Genomic DNA, 19,609 nt, shown 5'->3' with positions numbered 1-19,609 from the left:
TCCAGAGTAGCTGGGACTGCAGGCGCCCGCCACCACGCCCGGCTAATTTGTTGTGTTTTTTAGTAGAAACAGGGTTTCACCGTGTTAGCCAGGATGGTCTCAATCTCCTGACCTCGTGATCCGCCCGCCTCAGCCTCCCAAAGTGCTAGGATTACAGGCGTGAGCCACTGCGCCCGGCCTCTAAACTAGTTTTCTACGTTTTCTAGTTTTATATAACAGAAGACCATGGAACAATAGATTTTGATAATTTTTAAAAAGTACTATTAGATTTGTTTAGATTGTTCTCTGCATTAGAGTGTGGTAATTGTGACTCAGGTTTCTTCTGTTTTTTAAAATTGAGGTGTAATTTATATACAACAAAATTTACCCTTTTTTAGCATACAGTTCCCTGATTTTTAATAATCACATACAGCCATGCATTCATCACTAAAATCAAGATATTAAAAATTCTATTCACTCCATAAATTCCCTCTTGCTTCTTTACCCACTGATCCTTTTTATGTCTACATAGCTTTGCCTTTCCCAGAATGTCGTGTAGATGTAATTATATAACACGTGGCCTTTTGAGTCTGGCTTCTTTCTTTCGTATAATGCATTTGGGATCCATCCGTATTGTTTCAAGTATTAATAGTTTGTTCTTTTTTACTGCTGAGCAGTGTCACATTATATGGATGCAGCACAGTTTATTCATTCACCAGTTGAAGGATATTTAGGATGTTCTCACTTTGGGCAATTACAAATAAAACTGCTATAACATTCACATACAGATTTTCATGTGAACATAAGTTTTGACTGTACTGTAAATATTCAAGAATAGAATTACTAGGTAATATGATAATGGCATGTTTAACTTTAAAAGAAACTGTGCAACTCCTTGCTAAAAGTGGCAAACTCTTAGCTAAACTTTTGCATCCCAAAAAGCAATGCAATGCTCTTCATTTTTCCCAGTACACTTAGTAATGTCAATGTCTTTCTTTCTCTTCATTTTTAAAAGTAGTTTTCATAGGTGTACAATCATTTGTCATTGTGGCTTTTATCTGCATTTCCCTAATGACTGATAACGTTGAACATTATTTCATATGGTTATTTGCCATTGACATAAATTATCTGGTAAAGTGCCTTTCAGATGTTATGCTCATTTTTATACAATTTTTTGTTATTATTGAGATTTGAGAGTTCTGTATATATTCTGGATATAAATACTTCATCAGAAATATTGATTGACATCTATTTTCTTTCAGCCTGTGGCTTTTCTTTATCATTGTCTTAACAAGGTCTTTCGAAGAACAAAATTCTTAATTGTGATGAAGTTCAATTCATTATTGTTTCCTTTTATGAATGCCTGAATTCTTAGGTTTACAGATGGCCCTAGAAATAATTATTTCACACTGCTCGTGTGCTAACTCTTCTTGTAACATTTTCTAATTTGCTGTGTATTAACTGTTGATAGTAATTATATTTTCTAGCTTCAAATTTAATTTTATTCAAAAAACAAAGAAACAGAAAAATTTTTAACTGCAGTTTTTCCAGATTTCACACTCCTGGTATCCAATTTCAGATTATTTTAATTGACTCTTGGGCTCCCAGTCTACTATCCTATAGAACCTTCACATGTAACAGTAATGTATGCCTTGTAAAAGGGCAGAGGTGAGAAAATAGCTTTAACTAAACTGGAGGACAGCATATCTAAACTTTAATCCTAGGTTTTCATATGTGCAATATTTTAGTCACTACTTAATACTATCATTGAATTCCCCAATAATCTTATCATATTAACTAATACAGGGCAAAGATCAAGAAATGGAAATAAAAAGTTCCTCACTATGATTTAAAAGAAAAGAGATAATACATGAGCCAATAATTTCCCCATAAATGATCAGATTTTAGGCATAATAAATATTGCATAAGTTTGAAAATTGATTTATTTACATCAACTGCTTTGCTTAAAGTCTAGATGTTCCTGAGAAACTCCTACCACAGTCATAGGCTTACCTCCCCACATTAAGAAAATTTAATGACTATTTAAATATTGTATTTACATAAAAAACAGAGGGCGAGAAAGCTTGCTCGACATGAACACTGTCTACATATGACCAAAGATATTTAGCTTATCTAGTTTTACTGGCAACTCCATTTTCTGGAGGATGGTATATTGAAATGGAAACCTAGATTTCAGAAATCAGTCTGTTTTTATTAAGGTTAAAGCACTGTAGTACATAGTAAGAGGCTTCTTTTTTATAACCATTACAATGTCAGCAAAAATTTGAAAATCAAGAGCAGCTCCTGAAGAGAGTCTGTCCAGACTGAGTCAAAAGTTTGAAAGAGAGATGCCTAATAAAATAGTCCTATTAGAGATTCAAAGGGTGACAGAAAATTAGATTAGGGTCTGGGAGGCTGCTAGAAGTGCAGTGTTATCTCTGACTGAGTGATGGCTCAACTCTGTTCCAGCAAGGATTAAGTAGAAAAGTCAGTCAGGTGAGAGGGCTGTGTAAAACAGAATTCTGCAAGAGTTCATAAGATTGACAAAGCGATGAGGTTTTACATTTACCTGTAAAATATCTTCTTGGAAACAGTCTGCAGACTGATAGGTTTTAGTAGCTGAGCATGTCTTGAAGAACCCGCATGGATCATACCCTGATGATTTAAACCAAACAAAAGAAATTCTAAGTTCTTGATGACAAGAAGTCTGCCAAGAGTAAAAAGCAGTGACATTTCTGTTTTGGGGTACTGTGAAGCCATTACAATATAGGAACTATTAATTTCTGTTTGAATTTCTAGATCATGCATAATTTAATGTAAAAACAAAAAATCTATTATAGTCTGGATCCCATTATAGTAGCAGAAATTTGTACTACAGAAAGATTATCCATAAGGTGTATAATTATAATCATATTTTATAATCCTGACATTTTCCTTCCTCTAAAACCTTAGGTCATTATGCAATCTTTCTCGGACTCAGCTCTCTAATTCTTAAGGTAAGAAATATCAGTAGTACCTACTTACTAATAGTAGCAGTTGTATGTGAATCACTTAAAACAATACCTGGTACATGGTAGCTGTTTTTTTTGTTTGTTTGTTTGTTTTTGAGACGGAGTCTCCCTGTCGCCCAGGCTGGAGTGCAGTGGCGCGATCTCGGCTCACTGCAGGCTCCGCCCCCCAGGGTTCACGCCATTCTCCTGCCTCAGCCTCCGGAGTAGCTGGGACTACAGGCGCCCGCTGCCTCGCCCGGCTAATTTTTTGTATTTTTAGTAGAGACGGGGTTTCACTGTGTTAGGGTAGCTGTTTTATTGGTATTACTCACCTTCAACCAACTTTCTTCTGTTTTAGCCACCATGTAATTATGGACATTACCTATTTTCCACAACATTTTTAAAAACTCAGTCAAATAGATCAAGAATCCTTGTCTATTTCATTGATACTATGAGACTCGGATAATTAATCATAAGCATTATTTGACCGCAAATTGATACATGTATTCATAGTTGTTCGGGGGGCGCAAGTAACGGATTCCGACAAATCTGAGAAGAGCCAGGTTTTAGTTAAGGCCAGGATAAGGAAGGATTAGTCAGTTAAACTTGTGAGGATATAAGACATGTTTGGCGATTGTAGGACAGATTCCAGAAAGCTTGCATTAGTTTGCTTTGGCAGTCTTACCGGGCTTAGTACCTACTCATTGCGCTTTTTTATTTTTATACTAGGGAAAAAATTTCATACACTTTGAAGAATTACAGAAATATAAGCGCTGTATTTTTATTTAGGGATACAACCAACAATTTATACTTAAGATTCAAATTTACTGGGACTAACTCAGAGAGATGACAAAGAAATACATTCCTCCTCTGCTTCTAAGATCCTAGATACCAGAAATTCTACTTTACAATTTTTTCTTTTTTCCAGGGTAATGTACTTAAGCTATTTTTGAAGTAGTCAGACTCTGATTGACTGTCTTAAACAAAAGCTATCGTATAGTGAATTCTTCATCTGACAACTCTTCATCTTTATTCCTTTAGTCTATGATGATAATAACATCAATATTAGTGGTAAGAGCGGACACTTATTAAGTCCTTACTCTATGCCAAGAACTAATCTGTACGTGTCATGGTTTAATCAGCTAATCCTTATTATAACACTCAGACATAAGTTACAGCTATCATTCTCATTTTGTGTATAGGAAAGCTTAGAGTTTAAACAATTTACTCACTATCACAAAAATGATCATTTGAACCCAGGCAGTCAGACTTCAGATAGGAAACTTATTCTCATCTCTTTTCTGGAACAGACAACATGCATTCACTTGGAAACTCTATGCACTCATAACAATAGTTCCATTTACCTTGGACTTCAATATTTGTTTGATCAATGTTTCTCTGCCATTTCCAGACTGAACGTCCTTTTCATAGTTAGAGAAGTCAAAAGTAAAATAACAGAGCTCAGCATTTTCTCTGTCAGGACTTTTTCTATTCTGCCTAAACCTGAGTCCATGATTTTAGGCACTTCTTTGAAAATATCTATGATTCCTATTTTATTATTAACCCTGGGACAATCCATATTTTCTCAGTTTCTGAGATCTGTGGAAAAAAATCAGTAACAATGTGGACCTGGGTCACTAAATATATAAGATCTTAAATTTTAGTTGTATTTATGGGTAGTTATTTCCTTTCTGCATACACTACTGTGACTATTATAACTCTTTAAATATCTACTGAAGTCCAACATTCACATCTCCTTATCTGTCTTTTCTTCCAAGAAGAAGACTTTGCTTTCTGTGTCATAGTGGAACCAGAGCAGAATATCGTGAATTCTCACCAGACTACGTCATTTCTCACCCAGCATGTCTTTTCCTTCTGTGCACACACGGGATGTTAGTGTACAACATATAGATCCCAGAATAGTTATTGAGTAATTTTTAGGTTAATTTTAGACTCAATGTAGTTTTAGACTCTAGAACAATACAATTATTAAAAGCACAAACTCTAAAGCTGGACTGCTTGGGTTCAAATAAGAATACAATACTTGCTAGCTGTTTTACCATGAATAGGTTTCCATTTAATCACTTGTGACTCAGATTCAACACCTGTAAAACTGGGATAATAATTGTACTAATCATATTGGGTTATTACACGTTGAGCATCCCTTACCCAAAAACCCAAAATTTGGCATGCTTTAAGATCCAAACCTTTGAGCTCTGACATGATGGCACAAGTGGAAAATTCCACACAAAAGCACTTAACACAAACTGTGTTCATGTACAAAATCATTAAAAGTATTTTATAAAATCATATTTGAGCTATGTGTATAAAGTACATATGAAACATAAATGAATTTTGTGTTTACATTTGGGTCCCATTCCCAAGATATCTCATTATGTGTATGCAAATATTCCAAAATCTGAAAAAATCTGAAATTGGAAACATTTCTGGCCCCAAGCTTTTCAGATACTCAACCTGTATAAGGACTGAGTGAATAAGTGCAGACTGCTTGGAACAGCATCCATCACATAATAAGTGAAGTGGTAATTATTATTTTAAGTACTTGTCTTCAAAAATCAATATTAAGTTTCTCCTTCTCTATGTGGCTCTCTCTGTTTTCCCGTGTGGAGTTGCTACTCCCTCTGCATCTGTAATTCCACAGTTCCTTGCATTTTTGTTTTATTATAGTATCTACCACCTTAGAGTATACCCAACACTGTATTGCAATAAACACCTTAAGGGCAGAAGTTGTACCTTATCTTTGTACACTGACCACTCAGTTCAGGGACCCAAAATATCATTAAGTGAACTAATTAAAATGAAATTATAAAACTAGTTCTCATTTATAACTGGAAAGTAAATATAATATTATTAATATGGAGTGGTCTAACTTCTGGATATTAAGTTAGTATCTAAAGCACTTATGTTTCATTAGGGGTGAATAATAATATTTTATTTAACTCTCTGGTGTGAACAACCAGGGATGTCTTAGAAAACACTTTTTTACTTTGTATTTTTCATAACCTGAAGAAAAAAAATTCAGGGAGTATTAACTGTAAATTTAAAATATCTTAATAAAATAATAAATAGAAATATTTTAAACTTTAATAAAACCTAGCTGTATTTAGTCTCATAAAATTTTCAACCTCCATAAAATTTTATGAGCTATTTTTCATGTATTGTGTATCTATATATATTTACAAATAGAAATCTTCTAACACATATAATTCATACACTAATGAACTTTGAATGATAGGGTTTGAGGTTATAATATTTTCACGTTATAGATCAGCAGTCTCAAAGTACCATCTGTGTACTCCTGGGAGCTCCTAAGACACTTTCAAGAGGTCTGTGAGTTTAAATCTATTTTCATAATGATATAATGGCATTATTTTTCTATTTCATTGTGTTGACATTTGCAGTGATGATGCAAAAAGCAATGGTGTGTGAAACTGCTGAGCCTTACAATGAATCAGGGAAGTGACACCAATTCGTACTATACTTATTGCAGTCTTCTTCAGCACACAATCAGATTTATAAAAATTGCCAGCTTCACTCAAGGATGTCTGATGAAACAGCAAGTAGGATTGATTTTATTCAATATTCGTCCTTGAGAACATTTGATATTTTAACCTTTATGTGATAAAATTGGAGTATGCATAGAGCACTTCTGTTGGGTGCACACACAGAAATTATTGTACAAGTAAAAGTACTAACGTAATTTCTTCAACTGCAAACTAATCTAGATTTTTTTTCATGGAGCACCATTTTCTCTTAAATGAATGACAAGCAGACAAATTGGGGTTATTTAGAGTTGTATATCTGTATCTGGCCAATATTTTCTCAAAAATAAATAAAATGACCTGTCACCTCAAAGAAAACAACTGACAGTATTTGTTGCTAGTGATAAAATTCAAGCTAGCAAGTAAAAATTAGAATTTTAGAAATCTTGTATCACTACTATGAGCTCCACAGCTTCTAATACCTAAAGATTTTTTGAATGAAACCATGATAATATTAATAATTTTTAAAGATACTGTATAATGAAAGGTGTCAACATGAGGTGGTACTGTAAGTTAGTGACTTTTCTGTATGACCAATGAATGATTTTACAAAATCATGCCTGATAAAATATCTATTCAAAGCACAAGTTAAACCAATGGATTTTAATTTAATAGAGTTCAAAATATTGATTGATATGTTTACAGATTTCATAGTGCAACTAAACCTTAAGAAACTACTGCTTGTCAAATTTTGATGAAGTATCAAGGAAGAATACATGAAATATCTGAAAAGACTTAAAATATTACCTCCCTTTTCCAACTAAAAATTTATGTGAGCCTGTATTTTCTTTATATATTTCAACCCAAATAATGTATCTCAATAGATCCAATGCAGAAGCAGATGTAAGAAACCAGTTGTCCTCTGTTAATACAGACATTTAAAAGGATTTGTAAACATGTAAAACCATGTCACTATTCTTGCCAAGTTTTCTGGTTTGTTTTGGAAAATATATTTTCCACAAAAGTATATTATTTATGTTCACATGGAGAGGATTTGTTATTGTTATTTTTAAATTACTATTTCTGTTTTAATTAAATATTGATAGATATAATCCACATAAACAAAATTATCTGAGGATCCTCAGTAATTTTTAAAAGTGCAAAGGGTCCTGAGACCAGCATGTTTAAGAACTACTGCCATAGACAAATAGTTCCTGCAGCATTCCTGAGGCATATGGAAGGAAAAATCTATTTAGATTGTTTGAAAGTTCCTATTCACACTCAAATACATTTTGCAAAGGGAGATGGAATACCCAGTGTAAAAGGTTCCTTTATGAACAGGTATCTTTTCAAGCTAGGATAAGTATGTAAGTACTACCCCCAGTGAGTCTGATACAATTTCACAAAAGGAAACACTGTACAAATTTCATACTAATTTTCATACTTATTTTTGACTATTAAGTATTAAAGTGGAGGTGCTATATACTAAATTCTGTGCTGCTAAAAAAAAATGGAGTATTAAAAAGATCCTTGGACACAGGAGCCTTTCACATTAGCTGGTCCACCTTATGATGGACCCTTTTTGAATCATTTGATTAAATACATGAAAAAAGCTTTCATTGATATGTAGACCTAAACAAAATGTTTTCATTAGAAAAAGAAATTGTTTATTTTAGAAAGAAATTTATACTACGAACTAATTCTTCAGTGTGAAATTACAAAAGTACATTATGAAATTTTTAGTATCAGGGAAATAAGGGTTAAAATGGATCACATGCTACTGCAGAAATTTTGTTTCCCAGCTCCCCAACCTCCTCTGTATTTCCTGCTTTGTGTTCTTATTAAGAAAACTACTTCAAGGCTGTAGAAGATAGTTCTTGATGTCAAAATGACACTTCCCTTGTTTCTTTTGATTGAGAGAAGGCCTAGGACTTTCATTAGTCCCTGATTAGAGTTTTCAAGGAGTCCAACTATTGATTGCATAAAATTCCTTTCCTGTCATTTTCTGTAAATGTACACAATGGCTACTAACACATCCTCCAGAGCCCACACTTTGTTTTCCAGGAGGAAGGCAGACATTCAGCTAGCAATTTGACCTTTAGAATTTCCTACATGATGTTAAGAGAGAATTGTCTATTATTTAAAGATTTTTTTTCTACCTACAACAGAGCTGATATTTAGAACTGAAATTTCCTAGTAATTATAGCACATTTGGGTAAGTAGTTATAAAAAATATTCAACTGTTGCTTATTCTTAATTATGAGGGGACAATGGGCTTGACACCTGGCACAAGGCCAGCACTTAAAAACCACTTACTGATTTCTAAATAATAATGATAATTAGAGTTCCTAGTTAGGTACATTAGGGCTTGCATGTATATTAGAGATGCATAAAGGTTTATGAACTCTTTAGGGTCTAAAGGATACAAGCTGACTATATGTGAAAGAGAAGCTGTACAATCAACCTTTCTGGATGTCTTTTTTCCTGTAAACTGTTTAAGACAAAATTCACAGCCTAATGTCTTACAGTTTTCCACATTCATGATTTGGATTTCTATGTAGAATTGCTTTTGCCTCAGCTTCTTCTTCTGTTAAATAAGAATAGTAATACCACAGGAATCTATATGAAAAAGATAATGTGGAATGAAAGTTTGCAATTAAGATACTAATTAATCCTACAATCTCTTCCAAAAAATCATAATAATAAAATTAAGAAATGATACATATTCAGGCTTCTGTTTAAAGTAAAGGTAAGAGTGGAAGACTGGAGAACAGAGACCAGAATATGAGCTTCAGTTCTGATACCTCTGCTTTCCTCATTTGAAATAGGAATAAAAATATTTGTTATAACATCTCGTCACATTCCCATGTAAAAACACCCATCACACTGTAAAAGCTCTACAGCTAGTAGCTATCTATGATTGTCATGGCTCTTCTCTTTACCTATTCAGTTCTTCCCATTCTTCAAGACACAGATCAAATCTCCTTTTTCATGAGAACTATTGGGTCCGTAGTTCAACCCCAAATGGCTCATTTTCTTATGAACTCAGCTCCTGTTGCACTTACAATTACATCAGATTTGTTAACTTCCTTATGACACCATTTAGATAATGATTACATATTTAACTTTTCCTGTATTTATTGTCTGTCAGATTAGAATGTATGCTCCTTAAAGGTATGAACGATTTATTTTTCCTTGGGTATTTTGTAGCGTATGGTGTCTTCTACATAATTAATGCGCTATTAGTACTTGATTATTACATGAATGACAGCCTTCATGAAGTTTTCAAGAGTCCATAAGACATTCTCATGGAATTATGTAAGAAACCAGAGAAGAAAATAACTTTATAAAATATTATTGTTGTAAAATAACTTTGCATTTTTTGGAAGAGAGATAAATCATTGTAGTTTGGAGTCTGAAAGAACTAAACAAATCATCTAGCTTAAAATTTTATGTTATAGATGAGAAAACTGGAATCTCAGAGAGTTTCATATATTAACAGAATCATTATATTAAAAAATCACCAGCCAACCGTGGTGGCTCACACCTGTAATCCTAGCACTTTGGGAGGCCTAGGTGGGAGGATCGCTTGAGCCCAGGAGTTTGAGGCCAACCTGGGCAACATAGGGAGATCATGTCTCTAATTTTTAAAAATAATAATAATAAATATAAATAAGAATTACTAATTTTCATACTATACACCTAGCTATCATTTCATAATTGTATGTAATCATTTAAAATACATTTTCAAATAAGCAGAATTGGTCTAAATGTGTGCCTCATAATAGACATATATGAGTTCTAAATATTATTTGAGGTTCCTTGTCATTTTATTCTTAGCTGTCATTAAACTCTAGCCATTGAGTTAATTTGTTGATTACAAATACTTTATTCCTTAAAGAGGAAAATCATGTCTAAATCTACGTTTTTTGTGTTGTTTTTTTTTTCTGAAAAAGGCTTTTTATGCTACAGGTGTTAATGTGGACTTAAACTATTATGAAAAAAAAGTTTCTGAAGATTTAGTGAAGGGATAATGCAAACATAAATGAAAATTTGGTATTTCATATATGTCACTTTCAGCCAGAAGGGAAACAGGACTAGGAAATATAATCCTGAATGGCTTACAGGGATAAAGAGTCATGCTAAGAAAACCATTGTTCCTAGGAATAAGAAAGCTGTCCCTATTATCTCTACATCTATCTACCATATAACGAAGCATCAGATTCATTACAAAGTTAGACTTGAAATCCTGGCAAGCCGTTTATATGCTATTGTGCTCAATCTTTATACTGAAGTCATTCAAAACACAAAAGCAATGACATACCTCAGTGTCCTCAGAGGAGAATAACCTCTCTTATATTTTTATGCTAAAGGTATTCATGTAGACTTTTCTTAAACTACGGCAAAAGATTGTATTGCTCATCGAAAAGTTAAGAAGGAAAGGGTACTGCTGTTGTTCTTGTTTCTGTTTTTTATTTTAACTCAAAAACAGTGCCAAGACCAATAAGCCTATTTATAAAATGTCACCTTTTAATAATATATCAGTTTTTGCGGTGACACAGAGCTCAAAAGGGTCACTTAAACCTGTGACCACAGATAGTGTCGTGTCAAACATTTTGATTCTGGTTTGAGTGTTCTTTCCACAAGATTACAAGCATGCCCAGACATCACTCATTCATTTAACAAACAGATATTGGATATCTACTTGGTGCCAGCACTGTGTTATGCACACTGTATTCCCTCAGGCCTTACAGAGAGAGAGGCTGGAAAGTAAAACATACATTCAGCTCAAGGAAGGCTAAGATAGGTTTGCTCCAGGTGAACCTAGAAACATAGCATTGTATATTCTGCAGAAAGGTTGGCAGCCAGAGCAGGATCCTTGAGATAAAGCAACTGATTTCACTTCAAACTGTCACATGAACTCAGTGAGAGAATAAAAAAAACTGCTGTAGTAGGAAGGACACTGAATGGAGACTTTAGAATAATGGATTCAAATCCCAGCTTTGACATTTATTGCGCTTTTTTCACACCCTTAGGGAATAGTGCAGTGCAACTTAACCTCTCTAGTCATCATGTTCTCAAATGATAATGTAACAAAATCCTCTCTATACAGCTTATATAGTTGTTGTTGGAATTAAGAAAATCAATGTCAAAGCCCTTTATATATTTTTAAACATACTACAAATAGCAAAGTCTTATTCTTCAAGGACAAGAAAAAGACGATGAACTCTACTACCAGAATATTACTTAACCAGATATTACTGCACACATGTATTTTACAATTGCTTTTCAAGAAGTTGAATATTTAAAATACTTTATGTTAGCTTGGTTTAATAAACTGAGAATTTATCAGTTTTGTTTGAAAAATGTATGTCTTGTTGGTGATCATAAGGAAAAATGAAAAATAACACAGTCTGAAATGGAGAAATTATAAGTGTTACTAAGATGTATACATTTAAAACATTCAATGTTACATGCAATTAAAAAATAATGGAAATGCTATTTTTCATATTCTATGTTAAAACTAAAAAGTGAATTTAGAAGAGAAAAGAATAAAAAATTTTCAGTTTCTAAAAGAAGCAATTAAAAAAGCATTTGGTATATAATGCACAATGATTAGCTTTGCATAAAGTATGTAAATGGTGCAATTACAATGCACAGTATAAAAGACAATTTCCTGTGTTTTCCATCAAATCATCAACATTGGCCTTAGAGAAATTACAGGAACATTTAGAAAAGATAAATATATTCATTTGTAGTGGGGCTTGTACAAAGGAAAACATGTCAGGTGGAAAATGATTGCCCATTTCTGATGATTTCATTGATCGACGTGCAAAGTGCTTTTGACTATGGCAAAAGAAGCTTAGCTCAAATGTGAAATGCTTGACTGTTTCATTTGGAACATGCATTTTATTTTGCAGCCACAGCAAAAGAGATGAAATTCTGCCTGGTGAGTGTAAGGGGGAAAGATAAGCCCTTATATCAAGAGTTTCTGCTAACCTTGCTACATTTTGTATCAGAAATAAAGTGGAGATTTGCAGCTTACTGAATTCTGAAGCCAAGAAAATGAGATGGGAGAAAAAAAATTTAAAGAAAAACTACACACATTCTCTTTTAGTAATCATGTCCGCTTCTAGGGCACTAAATAGCTATATAATAGGATTAACTGATAGACAGTTTTAACAAACAGTGTTAAGTTATTGGGTTCATGCCATATCTTATGTACACAGACATTTTCTTTTTCTTGTGGTCTTATTGGAGATTGAAATTTCAGTCTGATAAGAGGTCTCCTAAATGTAATATTGACAGAGTTAGAAGAAAATTTTCTATTCCAATCTTCTTTCCCCATTCAACTGCATTTGAAGTAAGTTACTTCTATTTGTTTGGTATAAGGATATTTTAAGTAATCCTATACTAATTCAGGGAATAAAACAGACTGAAGTTAGTTTGAGGGTAGGATAAATCTGAATTTTATTCTTAATTTCTTGCATCCACAGGTCTTTACATTTATAATGTTAAGTATTCCTCTGAGCCTCAGTTTCCTCATTAAAACTGGAAATATTAATAATTATCAGTCATAGTTCCTAGTTGTAAGAACCAGACTTTGCCTGATTAATGAGAAAATTAGCCTCATAATATAAGAGACAATTATGGAATGCTTTCTGCCTGCCATTGACTCTTCTGAATACTACATACTCATCAAATTCCCACACTATTATCATTCCCTTTCACAGATAAGGAAATTGAGACACTCAGGGGTTAACTTACTTACCCCAGGTCACAAGAAGTGGAGAGCAGGGATTTATTTTCAGGGATTCTAGCCCCAGGGCCTATACTCTTAACCAATACCCCACATTATGTTTCTAGTTTATTGAAACAATATTGGGTACCTCACAGAAATATTGGGGGGTGTTGGAAAATCAGACTCAAAACTTAGCAGCCAGGAACAATGCACAATGCAATGTGCATCTCATTGCTGTGGCCACCAACCTAAATTCTAAGGCTGTAAGCTTGTGCCGTTGCAATTTAACACCCAAAGAGCATGAATTTTTCTGCAACTTCCACCCCTACCACTATCAATGTCATAAGCAACAACTGTTACTGCTGCCACCCCAAAGAAAGAAAGGAAAACTCCCCATCCTGAGTCAGGCTCTGATGAGGCTGTTGTGAGGATGGAAGCTGGGAGGGAGGCTGGAGAGACAGCTTCCAGCTTGGTCAACAGGACTAGGAAATATAATCCTGGATGGCTTATAGGGATAAAGAGTCATGCTAAGAAAACCATTGTTCCTAGCAATAAGACAGCCGTCCCTATTATCTCTACATCTATCCACCATGTAACGAAGCACCAGATTCATTACAAAGTTAGACTTGAAATCCTAGCAAGCCCTTTCTATGCTATTTTGCTCAATCTTTAAACTGAAGTCATTCAAAACACAAAAGCAATGACATACCTCAGCGGCCTCAGAGGAGAATAACCTCTCCTATATTTTTATGCTATAGGTATTGATGTGGACTTTTCCTCTAGTAGTGGAGTGATCATGGCTCACTGCAGCCTTGAACTCTCGGACTTAAGTGATTCTCCCACCTCAACTTCCTAGGCAGGTGCAACTACAGACATGTGCCGCCATGCTTAGCTAACATTTTTTTTTTCTTATTTTTTTTGTAGAGACAGGGTCTCACTCTTGCCTAGGCTGGTCTCAAACTCCTGGGATTAAGGACCCTCTCACCTCAGTTTCCCAAAGTATTGGGATTACAGGCGTAAGCCACTACATCTGGCCCAGGAATTTCCAGAGAAAATCTCTTATGTTGGAAAAGCTAAACAAGTAACAAAATTCCACTTTAACTGTTCTAAAGTTGAACATAAATATTGTATATAAAGTACTAATGGTTAAGTGATTAATTGTAATTGTTCTGGTGTCAGCCTACCTGAGTTCAAACCTTAGTTTTTTCTCACTAGTTGTGCAACTTTAGATAAATTACTCCACCTCACTGAGCTAATTGCTTCATTGTAAATTCTTGTGAGGATTAAACAAAATAAAGTTTGTAACTAATTAATTCTACTTAAAGCACTCCAAATGTTCATATAAAGTAGAGCTAGCTATATCTATCTGCTATTAAAATAACTGGTTAGCTAAAAAGAGAAAAATGGCCATTAGCAGATGAATGGATAAAGAAAATATGACAAATACCTACAATTGGGCACTATTTAGACTGAAAAAGATGGAAATTCTGTAATGTTCCACAACATGAATGAACCTTAAGGATATTATGCTGAGTGAAATAAGCCAGTCACAGAAAGGCAAAAGTGCATCATTTCACTTATACAAGGTACCTAAAGTAGTCTAATTCCTAGAATCAAAGCGTGGAATGGTGGATGCCAGGGGGTGGGGGACATTGAAGTTACTAATCAACAGGCACCAAGTTTCAGTTAAGCAAAATGAATATGCTCTAGAAATATGCTATAAAACATTGTATTTGTAGCCAACAATAATGTATTGTAAACTTAATTTCTTGAGAAGTTCATTCTCAGGTTAAATGTTCTAACCACAATAAAATAAAATAAAAATTATTAATGTACTGATTTTTATCAGTTGACAAAATTTCTTGGATTCAGGTAAGTACGAAGTTCAGATAAGTTTTCTTCCAACAATTAGGAAAATTCCGTTGAAAAATCAGATCTATTTGTAAAATTGATACTTTAGAATTTAAAGAAATAAAATATGATTGTATAATAGGCAAATTTAGGTCTGAAGTTACTATTAAATCTAGAGCTGGGTACTTTCTCTAAATACCTGGCCTAGTAAAACCCAAAACACATAAGTATCTTGGAACTGACAGAAGTCAAAACATAATCCAGAAATTTAAAGTTTTTTAGTTGTTCTCCTATAGTAGAAAAAAGAAGCATGGAAATCTGAATCTATTATACACTGATTCCTATACAAATATAAGTAAATGTACTTTTGAAATGATACATCTCTCTCTGGAGAAAGCTTCTGATTGGTATGCTATTGGGCACTGTCAATGGCTTTGTCTTGCTAAGTGTTTACATCAGTAACTTAGATGTACATGCATAGGACATTCTTATCAAATATAGGCTGGATACAAAGCTGGAAGTGCCAAAGAATAAGATACTCTACCTACTGCAGGCATTTAACATAAATAGATGCAATTGACTAAGCAGGGATAAATTAAAAGTCCTGTGTTTATAAGCAAAGAATCCAATTTCACAAGTATACAACATGTGAGTCATAGCTTAGCGTGTTTGGATGCAATGCTGATAGATCACACAGCAACATTAAGCAGAGTACGAAAGTCCAGATTCCACAACCTAACTTGAGAACTGTGGTGACATCGTAACCGACCCAGAGGCAAACATGAACTTCAAACCATCAAAACATCAAAGCACAGTCTCCAGAGGGAATGGCAAACCCAAGCCTATTTATTTTTTTAAAAATGGCCCCTCAGGCTTTTTCTGAACTATGTACAAGGCAGAGGAAGAGCCAGGCCAGTGGTGGGATACCTAGGGGACAGGTAGGTACAGTCTGCAGAAAAGGGCTGGCCAGAAAGTTAGGCACTCATTCCATTCACCGAAGTTCCAGATAGGGTCACAGTCCTTAAAAACTAGCTTAGGATATTGGCATAGTAACACCACAATGCAAAAGAAATCAAAACCTGTTTATATAAGTAGGGCCAGTGAGAGTGATGGAATTTTGAAACCTGCAACTTAAAAATTGCACACAAAGTAACCCGGTGTCACCTCTGGGTGAGCAGTAAAAATAACAACAGCAACAAGAGCAATTATTTCTCTTTTTTGGCTGTTACTGTGTGCTAGGCATTCTACTAGGTAATTTTACATTTGTTACCTAATTATTGCTCACAATAATAGTAGAAGATAAGCATGAGATTCTCCATTTGCATGTTAGAAAGATGAGATTAAGTAACATGCCCAAGAATTCACAGCTCTAGCACACCCAGGATTCATTTGGTCTGCATGGTTCCATGAACTTTCTAGTACGCATTACGGTCTGTATCTGATTAGCCAAAATTGAACTCATGTGATGACTTAGAAGCCTGGCACCATGACTAGACTTCCAGATTCTCGATCTGAATAAGTGACTTAGTTGTGAGCCTCATAGGCAGGCAGAAAAGCACAAATCCTTAGGAATAAGGTAGATTTGAACAAGCAAATTGAGGACCTCAGTGACTTTTCATGGAGTAGCTGAGGAAAGATAAAAAACATTTTCTCCACCAAGAAAAATATAAAGAAAAGACATGGCTAATTGTCAGTATCTGTAAAATAAACTTGAATGCAAAACCAGTGAGCTTTACATGCACTAAGTCTGTGTTAAGGTGCTTTAAAAAGCACATGTGAAATTAGTGCTCATTAACAGAAGAATTAGTGAGCTACACTAAGGAAAGTCATGCACAGACCCTGCTGAATTCCTATTCAATACCCATTCTCAGACAGTTTTCCTTGTGATTGTAACTCCATCTTAGTTGATGGTAGAAATGCATCTTACTAAAAGCTAGGTTTCCCCGCCTTTTTTGAAAATGTGGGCATATAACATGGGTCTGGTCACAGACAGTTGTAGGTGCAGATCTGGGCATGTTTAGGAAAGTTTGCCTTTCAGTATAGCCACAGTATTGAATATAGTTTCCAATATAGGCACAACTGCTGTCCCATTATTTTCCTCTTCCTCCTTCTTGGAATGCAGATGTGAAAGAATGGCCAGTCATCCCATGGCCATTAGATGCCTTGTGAAGGTAAAAATCACATCCAAAGGATAGTGATCCTTGGATAGAAGGAGCTTACTGGATATTAATGGCATTGAGAAATTGTTGCATCAGCTCTGGGTTGCCTTAATATGAAACATCTTGTTAAGTGAAAACTCTTTTTAAACCACTAGAGTTATATTTCTGCTGAATTGAGAGAATCTCTAGCGAACAGTTAGGGAAGGATTTCTAGGATCAAAATTTTTAATGAGGAATTTGAAAAAGATACCCTATTGTCTTTTAGGGTCAAGTGTTCCCAATAAAGAAAAAAACGTTGGTTGTTGAGCCTGTATTTTTTAGGCTCCTCAAAAGCATTTCAAATTCTCCTTTTGTCATTATTGTTTTGAAATGTCTTAAAAATGTTTAAGGGAATATATCCTTATTTATGTTGTGTGGCTCTTAGCACGTCATTTTAAATCAAATACTTAGGTCTTATTTAAGTCTTAAGAATTATTTCCTCCTTTCATATCCAGCCTAGTTCAAGCCTTCTGGATCACCCTTAAGTGAATACTGAAATTTTCTAATCTAGCCACAAAGTCAATTAAGCCTTCCTCATATTTTGCGTCCCTTCTTGTTGATTATTTGTTAGCTTTAACTCTGTATTCTGAGACTTCCTTGACTGATTCTTATAACATATGAATTCTCTTCTCAGCTACATTCATGCTGCTCTTGTCTGCTAATAAGCATTTATTATGGAAATCAAACGAATTTACAATGTCTATAGCTGATGTATTTTTGTGGATGCAGTAGATTCTCAGTCTCTCTAATGATATCATTTGGAAATCTGTTTATTCCTATCGACTACATTTCTTTTATGTTGTTCAGTTTGTTCAGTTTAATACTTTTGTGGTATTACTTTTCCTCAAACATTTGGTGATTTGTGGTGTTCTGGCCATCTTTATACTGGAAGATTCCTAATGCTGATCGTGGATGGATGTCAGTTCTGAGGGTTGTTTGAATGGAAGGGCAGTCAGAGCAGGCTGCTGATCGCGCTGACCTTGGCTTCATTTGATCTCTTCTAAGAATTTGAAGTGGGAAATAAGATGGTTGTATTTGTTTTTTATGCCCTCATGATGCAATATTCTAAATGGATTATCTAATAAAGTTCCATCTTGAGAACTAATGAATTCTGTGTGACTGAAATAATTGAAAGATAGGTTTCACAGCAATTTGTTGATAAGCTTTTCCTAGGCATTTAGGAACCAAGAAAAACAAAAGAAAAGAACAAAGGGTAATATTTAAAACCTAGGATTGAATCCCAATTTTTCCCAATTAATTGCCCTTTTACAAGTCAACCTATCTCCTCTGAATCTTTGTAAATCTGTAAAAAGAAAATTATAATTCCTAACTGAAGAATTAGCTCTGATAATAAACTAATATATATAAACAAATCTGGATTTTAATAGCAAACTTAAATTATAATTATATAAATTATAATTATATATTATATAATGAAATTATAATTCCTAATATTAGTATGATGCTAAAAAATTCATGAACCATAAGACAGTTAGCCAAGATTATAAGCAGAAGGAACAAACATTCCAACTTTCCTTGATCTTGATCAGTCTTGGTTTATACCTGTTTCTCTAGGAAAGTTTTATTAGCTCATTCTTTCATTCAACAAAGTATCATGGTTTGAAAGACTATGCATTATATGGTAATCTTAGCATTCAATACCCCTGAGCTTCTGTGATTCAAATATCTTTAGTAAGACTTTGTCTATAAGAGTTGAACCAGCCTTGTTCCTAAGCAAGTACAGCCATATAACTTCTAATTGGAGAATGTGTGGGAGCAGCTAAGTGCTCAGGTGTCCAATCGGACAAGCATAGATTGGAATTTGGACTTCCGTGTGTATCAGCTCTATGAACTTTGACCAGGACTCAATCTTTCTGAGCCCCCATTTCCCCGTCAGTAAAATGGAGATTTATAAAATGGTTTGAAGACAAATGAGCTAATTTTGTTACACATTGTTTGGCATATATTAAATGGTATAGCTATTTTCTACAAAAGACAGAACACAGTATGGAATTTGTTGTAGATTTTGGCACTTTTTTATTTGTGCAAGTTAATTTTGGTATCCACATTTGGATTACACTGTTTTTATACCCATGTGAAGTAGATCACACCTTTCCAACTGATTAATGCCGTTTTAGAATACACATACTATTATTTTGAGAGGAAAAATAATGGTAGTAGTCTGATCGTCATGTTCATAAGGGAAAAAAGAGAAGCTGAAGTGTGTGTCTACCAAAGCCCAAACGTTTCCACTGCTGCTCAATTCACAACCCAGATGAGATTGAAACAGCAGGGTCATTAGGGTCTCCAAAGGAAGAAAATTCCATGTTTATTTCTGATTTATTG

At 34.3% G+C, this 19,609-nt stretch overlaps 1 long non-coding RNA gene across 1 annotated transcript in view; it reads left to right on the top strand.

The window, feature by feature from the left end:
• Positions 1 to 19,609, top strand: part of LINC02516 (long intergenic non-protein coding RNA 2516) — a 58,493-nt gene that overhangs the window by 11,793 nt on the left and 27,091 nt on the right. The window contains exons 3-5 of the long non-coding RNA NR_110838.1: positions 2,932 to 2,975; positions 6,257 to 6,316; positions 12,394 to 12,422. This is a non-coding gene — a long non-coding RNA (long intergenic non-protein coding RNA 2516). The remainder of the gene's footprint in view (positions 1 to 2,931; positions 2,976 to 6,256; positions 6,317 to 12,393; positions 12,423 to 19,609) is intronic.

Source organism: Homo sapiens, chromosome 4 (assembly GCF_000001405.40).
Source record: "Homo sapiens chromosome 4, GRCh38.p14 Primary Assembly".
NCBI classification, from domain to species: domain Eukaryota; kingdom Metazoa; phylum Chordata; class Mammalia; order Primates; family Hominidae; genus Homo; species Homo sapiens.
This window is presented reverse-complemented; position numbering and strand designations above follow the sequence as displayed.